Source organism: Homo sapiens, chromosome 2, assembly GCF_000001405.40.
Source record: "Homo sapiens chromosome 2, GRCh38.p14 Primary Assembly".
Classification (NCBI taxonomy): domain Eukaryota; kingdom Metazoa; phylum Chordata; class Mammalia; order Primates; family Hominidae; genus Homo; species Homo sapiens.
This window is the reverse complement of record NC_000002.12, coordinates 108,403,075-108,413,072: the sequence shown is the minus strand read 5'-3', so window position 1 is coordinate 108,413,072 and position 9,998 is coordinate 108,403,075. Positions and strand designations below refer to the sequence as shown.

Here is a 9,998-nt window from a genome sequence, read left to right as displayed (position 1 = left end):
CTGATTGGCCAGAGTCCAAAGGGATGCTCACAGGGCCAAGTGAGTCCCAGAATCAGCAGCTGATAAGGCCATGTTCCAAAGAGCTCACATTGCACCAGAGGTGGAAAAGAACATTACGGATATAGTAACTATTGATATATTACCGTTGTACTCATCAAACACCAATTTTACTTTAATAATAATTTGTAAGCTGCATTCACTATTAATAATAAAATAATTAAATATTTTTAGACATAAAATTCAGAGTATGTAGAATTTAGTAAAGCACTCTTATTTTTCTTGTTTATGGTATCTTAACTTACTAGTGTACATTAATAATTAGCTCATTTTGTCACCATATGATTGTATTTTTACCAATTTTTGTTTTGAGACAGAGTCTCACTCTATCACCCAGGCTGGAGTGCAGTGGCGTGATCTCGGCTCACTCCAACCTCTACCTCCCGGGTTCAAGCGATTCTCCTGTCTCAGCCTCTTGAGTAGCTGGGACTACAGGCATGTGCCACCATGCTCAGCTAATTTTTTTTTGTATTTTTAGTAGAGACGGGGTTTCACCATGCTGGCCAGGCTGGTCTCAAACTCCTGACCTCGAACTCCTGACCTTGTGATCTGCCCGCCTCGGCCTCCCAAAGTGCTGAGATTACAGGCGTGAGCCACCATGCCTGGCTGTATTTTTACCAAATTATTAAAGCACATCCAATATAGATTAGATGATGCTCAATTATTTTGCAAAATAAATAAGACTTGTTTATAATTTTTAGCAAAAAAGGTGAATTTAAAAAATTATTCATAAAATGTACCTATGTTTAGAATCACAGAAAGGTTACAACTGAAAGGAACTTTATAGCCTACTCAGTTCACATCTTTATCTTGTATTTAGGGCTGTAGTATGATATATTTTACGAAGAAAAAGTATCACCAAACTCCAATTAGAAATTTACTTATTTGAGGAACTATATAAAGCTGTATCAGATGTTATACATTAGACCCAAATATGTGTCTCTGAAAAGTAATTACTTTATAATCACCATTATGTTTGCAAGGCACAAATATTTAATTACAATGTTCAGATATATAGTTGTCCCCCATTATCTATGGGGGTTTGGTTCCAGGAACTCCCTGTGAATACCAAAATCCATGAATGCTCAAGTTCATTATACAAAATGGTGCAGTATTTATATATAACTTATTGAAATCCTCCCATATACTTTATTTTTAAAAAATACTTTTATTATATTTATGTATTTTTTAAGAGACAGAGTCTCCCTCTGTTGTCCAGGCTGGAGTGCAGTGGCATTCACAGCTCACTGCAGATTTGAACTCCTGGACTTAAGGAATCCTCCTGCCTTAGCCTTCCAAGTAGCTAAGACTACAGGCATGTACCACTACACCGGGCTTATTTAAAAATTTTTTTTTGTGGAGATAGGTTTTGCTGTGTTGCCCAGGTTGGTCTCAAACTCCTGGCCTCAAGCAATTCACCTTCCTAAGCCTCCCAAAGCGCTAGGGTTATAGGTGTGAACCGCTGCTTCTAGCCCCACCTCCTGTATAACTTTAAATCAACTCTATAATTATAAATAATACCTAGTACAGTATAAATGCTATGTAAATACTTATTATACTGTCTCGTTTAGGTAATAGTGTCAAGAAACAAAGTTTGTGCATGTTCAGTACAGAAGCAACCATCCATTTTTTCCCAAATATTTTCAATCTGTGGTTGGATGAATTCATGCATGTGGAACACATGGATATGGAGGGCCAACTGTATCAGATAAAGTCTTAGAAACTATTAGGTAGACAAGCGGAATTCAGTGAGATTTGCAGCAGCGTGGGAACCTGTATGTAACAGAAGAACTGGACCATGGTAGCGATTTGTTGATTTTGAGCATCTTAGTGATGAGTGAGGTCTAGCACACAACCATGTGTCGGCATTGTACCTGCCATGAAGACAGTCAGAATGAAGAGGTGAGCTAGCAGCCCTCAGGTATAGGCATACTTTCTACTGCCATGGTTCACAGCCACTTAGAATGACATTGGAAGGTGCAGTTTAAAAACTTAGGTTCTCTTCATGGTGCCAAAACCAGAGCACTGGGAATGAAGGAAAAGGGAAGGAGTATTCACTGATAGAACAGACGCTGTTGGCCTCACCAATGATAGGATGGAAAATCAAACTTTTAAAGTAGTAGGTTGAAGATTTAAAAACTCAGCTGGGGCTGTATGAAAGGGGTGGGGAGAACACAGATGTGTATGGACACTAGAGGAAGTGGAGCCAGATCCCAGCGCTGCAGAAGAGGAGGCTGAGAGCAAAGTTTCTACTCCCATGAAAGCCACACAAGTCACTGAGGGCCCAGATAACTCAAAAGCAGACGGAACACAAAGCTTTGAGGAACAGGACATGGTTTGGGCAGTATCAATCCTCACACAGACTTTATGAAAAGATTTACAGTAATTATAATAATCATGTCCATTATCATTGCTAGGTTTCATTGGTTACAGATGATGTCCCAAGCACATTTGCCTTTTTTTTTTTTTTTGAGATGGAACCTCGCTCTGTCACCCAGGCTGGAGTGCAGTGGCACGATCTCCGCTCACTGGAAGCTCCACCTCCTGGGTTCACCCATTCTCCTGCCTCAGCCTCCTGAGTAGCTGGGACTACAGGCACCTGCCACCACGCCCGGCTAATTTTTTTTGTATTTTTAGTAGAGACGGGGTTTCACTGTGTTAGCCAGGATGGTCTCAATCTCCTGACCTCGTCATCTGTCCACCTCGGCCTCCCCAAATGCTGGATTACAGGCGTTGGCCACTGCGCTCAGCCCCAAGCACATTTCTAAGTGCTTCACATGCATTAACTCACATAATTCTTAAAGCAAAAGAGAAGTAGTTACTATTAGTAGCTCCAGTTACAGAGGAGGAAACTGAGGTGCAGTTAAATAAATTGCTGACATTTCACACAGTGAGAAAACTGGAGTGGGGTCTGGAACCTGAGCAATCTGATTGCAGACCTCATTTGACCACTATGCTAAGAATCTTTCAAGAAGGATAATTTCTAGATGGGAGACTAAAAATAACAAACACTGAGAGATGACTAAATCGCTTGCTCTGTGTTAAGTAATTTATGTGCATTACCTAACTTAATTGCATGCCTCAAGAGCTAGGGACTCCAAGGAAGGCAAGGCAAGCTGGCTTCCTGAGAGAAAGACTGAGTAGAGGCTGTGTGCCTCAACAGAACCTAGGCCTGCTTCAGATGTCAAAGAGGGAATAGCAATGAAGACAATTGAAGTGGGCTGCCTGACTGGAGACCTCATCATTGCAAATGTATCCATTTCAGAGAAGGGGGCCTGTGTTTGAGATGCCATACTCAGAGAGAGAAGGCAGTTCACAAGGGGTGGAATGTATTCAGACCCTGGAAACCCGTGGTGGTATGGTGGTAAACTAACTCATTGATTGCTCCTCCTTGTTGTGGTCACTTGTCAGCTTCTGGGTCACTTATGTTTCACCTCACATCTTGACATGTTTAGGTCCTCAGTCTTCGTTGCCACTCCTTTCAATTTTTGGTGATTTTAATAACCACACGGACTACCTCTTCTTTTCTTCAGTGCTCCTGTGTTTCACTCTCCCCCAGTTGATTGCTTTAGTGATCATGCCTTAGGACTTGTCTTTACCAATAATCGGGTACTTTTCATAATCACAATTACAGGCATCTCACCAACTAACCACCATCTTCCATCTTTCCCACGCACTCCTTCCAGCACTCTGACCCTAACAATGGTGCTACCTGTGCCAGACCATCTGCATCTGTGTCTGCATATCCTGCCTTCCTCCTGTTACTAGGGATGAACTGTTTGAACTCCTGGGTTCTGTCTGTTCCCACCCCACACTCATCATCAGTTTTCCTTTCTTTTCTATAATGTCTCACATTTTATACTTTGCTGCCACATTCTACCTCAGATACTGCCCATTTTTTCCCTCTGTAATAGTAAACTCCTAAAATAGTTGACTATATTTACCATCTCCAGATAATTTCCTTGTCTCTCTTGCAGTCTCTGCAGGCAGAACTTTTGTGATCAATCTACCAAAATAGGTCTTGTCAAGGTTAAAAATGGCCTCCACTTTAGTAAATTCAGTGTTGTTTGTCAGTAATGCCAATAACTACCCTCTACCTCCAAACATAAATTTTTTTTTCCGTGGAAGAAGGAGAGGGAAAAGCAGAACTCTAAATTTGGCTAACAACTTCTGAAATAACTTAGTAATAACTAATTTAACCACATTTACCAGGACACTAATTTTGTTTTATTTTCTGGTTTGGAAAACATGTAGGCTGATTGTCAGAAATTAAGCTTAGTTATAGGAAAATTTAAAAAGTTACCTTTTTGTGTATCTTAGGTTTATTATCTATGAAATTCACTACTGCAAAAAGAACAGGAGGCATTTTAATGTGGAGAGCTGTTAAGATCTATAAAGGGGAGAGGGAAGTGGTGGGAGCATTTTAGTGTGAAGAATGAAGTGAGAAAAATGGGGGAGACCAGAAAGCTTTGAGTCCCGTATGAGTCAAAAGAAGAAACAAGAATTCCGTCTCAAAGGACAAAATTTCAAAGACTATTGAACTTAACTAATGACAGCTCTAAACCACTGACCAGTCATGAAATAAGAGGATAAAAATATTCACCTAGGCCGGGTGCTGTGGCTCACACTAGTAATCCCAGCACTTTGGGAAACTGAGGTGGGGGATTACTTGAGGTCAGGAGTTCGAGACCAGCCTGCCCAACATGGTGAAACCCATCTCTAGTAAAAATACAAAAATTAGCTGGGCATGGTGGTGTGTGTTTGTAATCCCAGCTACTCAGGAGGCTGAGGCAGGAGGATCACTTGAACTTGGGAGGCAGAGGTTGCAGTGAGCCGAGATCGCACCATTGCACTCCAGCCTGAGTGACAGAGTGAGGCTTCATGTAAAAAAAGTGGAAATAGGTTTAATGTCTTTTGAAACAGTTGTGCAATACCTAGCAATGCTGAAGGTATATAGCATGATGATCCAGGAATTCCCCTCTTAGGTTTATACCCCAGGGAAACTGTGTGTGTGCCCAAGGAGACATAAGAGGAATGTCTAAAGTGGCTTTGGTGGTAATAGCAAACTGTTGGAAATAACCTAAACATCTAGCAATAGGAGAATAGATATGTAAATAATGTGGTATGTGATAAAACAAAGAAATAAGTTGTGTTACTATATTCATATGCTGGAATGCTACACAGCGGTGAAAAGAAATAAGCCAGGACTATATTTGAACATGGATGAATATTACAAACTAGTGTTGAACAGAAAAAGAAAATTGTTGAAGAATGCATATAGTAGGATAATTTAAATCTGCAAGCATGTGCACTAAAAATATAAACAAATGCATGGGAATGAGAACCACCAAACTCAGAGAGAAGGAGATAACTCAGGAAGGAGGGGAAGGGATGCTGCTGGGAGTGGTACCAAGGAACTTCCCCTGGAATGCTTTATGCTTTATTAAAGTTTGTGGTAGGTACTTAGATGCTTTATTTAAGTCCGTGGTAGGTGCATGAGCATTTGCTCTATTATATTTCATATCATTTATATATTTCATATAAAAATGCTCAGACTACTAAGTATTCTTCATGTCTGATACTCATTTTGTCTTGTTTGAGTCTTTTACTGATTGGAATAATTAATTTTTTTCCACTTAGATGTGAGAATAACCTGGGACAGTTGTAGTGGGACACCAGCCGACCGTTGATTCATATTGCATAAGCCAGAATGTCTGGGGACCAAGGAAATGTGTCTAGAAATTTTGTGCTCACTAGACAATGATGGTAAATGTGTAATATGGAGATTTCTTATCCAAGTAAGAACATTCTAAAAGCCAGATAATTAATGTATTTTTTCATGAGGTAGAAAGCATCCACAGCATGACACCCACCCTAGTGATAAGTAAGGCATCCAGTCTTTGAAATGGGGTTATTTTTGACACACTCTGCAATCAGAGCTTGCTTTTAAAGGTCTTACGCAGACTTGTCAGGACAAGGGCTTGGGAGAGCCTACTGCCTAGGAATGATTTAGGAGACGTGCCTGTCCCAGTTTCTAGCAGAGGGACCCATAGGCCTCCAACGCTATGTCTGTGAGACCACGACTCTCTGGGATGGAGGGTGGCTTGAGAAAAGAGGAAGGGAAAGGTGCCTTGCATTTAACTTTCTCATTATTTGGTTCCTTTATGCAACTTTTGTTGTAGAAGCCTCAATGCTAACATTTCTTATTTTAAGGAATCTCACTCCATTTCACAAAGATTCTGAGAAGCAGAATATGAAGGACAAATTTTCTCCATCTTTATTATATTGATTTCAAGAACAAGCATATTAAACATAATAAAAGTTGAGAGTATTGCATTGAGACACTATTTCTGTTTTCTAGTTTTTTTCCTTCAATATTTATACCTGTCAACCTGGGGTCCTAGGACAATAGATGGCAAACACTTTCAAGAATACCTCTCTCTTTTCAAGATCTTTGATTCTTCTTTGAACACACTCTCTACTCTAGGTTTTTTTTTTTTTTTTTTTTTTTTTTGCATTGGCAACCTCTTTAATATCTAGACTAGATATTATAAAATCGGGCCTCATTTGTCCAGTATATATACAATATATACAGTATAGCAAAGTTAAATGAAATGCATGTACCATATAGGCAACGGATTAAGCTGAAATTTTCTAATAAACAATGGCAAAATGACTTTTGCAGTTTCTTCCCTCCCACCTCGCAAGTGGTTAAACAATTCCACTTCCAAATAGCATTTCCCATCAGTTTTTAAAAGCTATTTACAAAAAGTGTTATTCTACTACTACTTTTAAATACAATAAGCACTTCCAAATATCTAGAAAGGCTAGATATTTCATATAACTTGTCCACCATGTACACAGCATCATTAAATAAAATTGCAGACACATAACAATGGTTATCATCTGAGTTATCTTCCAAATGTTGCCATTTTGCCCTTGAATCATTCCCTCCTCTCTTCCTTCAATCCAGTGGACAAGTACAGGCACGTGTAATGCTTAGAGATGGTTGAACAAATTCCTATGCAAAAGTCATTTACAGAAGACAAGTTTTCCTATGAATTTCAGCACAAGGCTTACAAAATATGCTAATTTTACTAAATGCTTTGTCATATACACTGGCAACCTCTTTAACATCTAGAGACTAGATATTGAAAATTTGGACTCATTTGTCCATTATATACACTATATACAGAACAAAACAAAATGCACAAAACGTACAGAAAAATGGTGTCGAAAATGTCCAAGTACAAACACACTAGCCTATTACCTTTTGCAATTTCTTCCCCTCCACCTCCTCTAAACCATTGAACAAGAACAAGTATAGACAGTACTATACTGCTTACAAAGGTGGCTTCACAATTCAATTCCCAAAAGGCAGTATTTCCTATGAATTTTAGCAAAAAAATATTTACAAAGTGGTATTTTACTACCTCTACATTTAACATACATTGGGCACTTCTAAACATCTAGGTGTTTCAAGTAAGGGGTTAATTTGTCCACTGTGTACACAGCAGTCTTGAATAAACTGCAAACATGTAACAGCAGTTATAATTTGAAAGAGTCTTCCAAATGTGAACATTCTGGCCTAGAACCCTTCCCATCTCCATCCATCCAATGGGCAAGAATGCTCAGATTTTCAGAAGACAATCTTTCTTAGGACTTGTAAAACAAAATGTACAAAGCATATTAGTTTACTAACTCTACTTTTGTCATATACTGGCAACCTCTTTGTTAGAAGTAAATGCTCGGTGCCACCAAGTGAAAATAGCACTCAGGCAAAAGTTTTCTCAGCAAGGCAATTTACTTCTATAGAAGGGTGCATCTCACAGTTGGGGCAATGGCGAGAGCACACCAGACAAGGGAGAGGAAGGGATCCTTATTTTTAATGCATCTGGTCCCTACTGCTGTGTCTTTCCCCTGTTGGCTAGGATTGGACCACACAATCTAAACTGACCTGATTGGCTAATGTTTGAAATTGAACACAGCTATCTAGGTGGGAAGGGGAAGACTATCCATTACGGTGCAAGGCATGTCTAGGCTTCTCAGGGCATGTCAAGGTGCAGGAAGGGCAGGAAGGGTTGTTTACAGCATGGGTAACTATAGAAACTAGAGAAACAAAGAACCGGAAGAACAGGGAATTAAAACCTTTTGAAGAGGAATTTATTATCTCTGTCAATTTCCCCCTCTTGATTTTATAGCTTTTCCTCTTCAAAACACCTGATTTTATAGCTTTTCCTCTTCAAAACACCTCAGCATATCTCAGCTCTGTTGTTGTTCTTAGGCATCTAAAAGGAAGAGTTTATCTGAATAAGGTGGAGGAGAGCTATGGGAGGTTTTGCTGAGAGCTGTTTCTGTAAGTCTTTGCACTAAACCATGAGTACAGGGTATGATACAGCATCCTACAAGACTGAGCACACCTATAATGATTACAAGGGAGGTGAATATTGAGGTCATAATTCCTTTCCATTTCCCAAATGATTTTTCCATGAGGCTTGTAAAGGGGTCATTTATTCCAGAATTTTTAGCTAACTCATTTGACAAGGAGGTAAGGCCTTGTAAGGCTTTTCTTATTGTTCCATCGGGGGTGGTATTATTAGGAATAAAAGTACAACATTGGACTCCAATCATGACACAAACCCTGCCTTTCTCTGCTGGCATCATATCAAGAGCTATGCTATTTTCCTAAATCATCTGACTGGTGGGGCCTAATCATTCAGGTGTTCCTTTAATGGCATCTTTTGTGTAATTAACAAACCTTTGTTGATTATAATAATTGTAATTTATCTAATTCTACATTTTTGTTTATAGTTGACCACCAATACAGTGGAGATTCAAATCCTGCAGCTATTTGATTTTGGGCTTTAAATTCATCTGGTACTCCTTGTGGAACTCCAATAGTGTCTACATAAACTTGGGGGTCAAAGGACCTATGTGGGGCACTTCTTCTTTTACTATTTTCTTTTCTGTCACGTTGACGGACTGCTAGGGTGAAAGGGATGGCCAGTTGGACTAGAGCGCAAATGCTGCTCCAATTACTTGGCAGAGTACCCGGCAATAGTCCCCCACAATACCACCACACATCTGCTCAGGGATGAACAAGGGCAGACTGATTGGTAAGCTCTTGAAAAGGTCTGGTTTTACTGAACCCTGTTAAGTCTCCAGGAAATGCTAACTTGTCCCCCTGCCGTGAAAGGCATGAGGTGAAGTTAACATCAGGGGCTGGAGGCCAGATGGCCCTCAGAGGCTGACTGCAGGGCTCTTGACCTCAAGGAAAAGCAGTGAAAGACTCTTGCATGACTCATTGCCCCAGGCTGTGGGGTTCTGGAAGAGAGCTACCACACAGCTCATGCCGCGTCTGTGAGAGGACCACCCAAGTGGAAAGGGGACAATTTGGGTCTCTCGCCTAACTGTTGCACAAGTGTAACAGTCGCTTTTGTTTAGCTTGCGAACAGAATATTTAACCCATTCCAGCCAAGCATTTGCATCCTGATACCCTGTTTCAGTCGCTATAGTTTGTTTTAAATCTTTAACCTCTACAACAGCTACTTTGGTTTTATTATTGGGTATATAACAAGAGAAGGTTTGGTTAGTGGAGAACTTAGGAGAGGGAGAAGGGGGTGCAGGAGGTGGGGAAGCATGAAGCACATTTCAAAGGATCCTATGGAGTGCTTCCCTGAGACTTCTACTCCTATACCACAGAAACAGCTTAATGGAGGGGAAGAACTCTGGGGAGCAGCAATGGTAATCTGTACTAGATTACATTGGTTCAGCTGACAATTGGAAGGGGTAACTCCTTTAGTAAAATGAATATAAGGTTTCAAGAAACTGCAAGTACTAGTTGGGGCAGTCCATCCTTGCTCTTTAGTATTTCATAGAGCATTGGACCAACTTCAGCAGAGAAGCTCTGCTCTAGGAGGACAAGATTCCCAGTTCATACT

General features: G+C 40.1%; 2 annotated features.

Annotated features, from left to right (window-relative positions):
* Window positions 8,614-9,114: an enhancer, noted in NCBI's record as "OCT4-NANOG-H3K27ac hESC enhancer chr2:109020415-109020915 (GRCh37/hg19 assembly coordinates)". NCBI's record gives its function as "activates a minimal SCP1, AML or CMV promoter by ChIP-STARR-seq in primed H9 embryonic stem cells {active_cell/tissue: H9 hESC(primed)}" and the evidence as "EXISTENCE:reporter gene assay evidence [ECO:0000049][PMID:30033119]".
* Window positions 9,115-9,615: an enhancer, noted in NCBI's record as "OCT4-NANOG-H3K27ac hESC enhancer chr2:109019914-109020414 (GRCh37/hg19 assembly coordinates)". NCBI's record gives its function as "activates a minimal SCP1, AML or CMV promoter by ChIP-STARR-seq in naive and primed H9 embryonic stem cells {active_cell/tissue: H9 hESC(naive and primed)}" and the evidence as "EXISTENCE:reporter gene assay evidence [ECO:0000049][PMID:30033119]".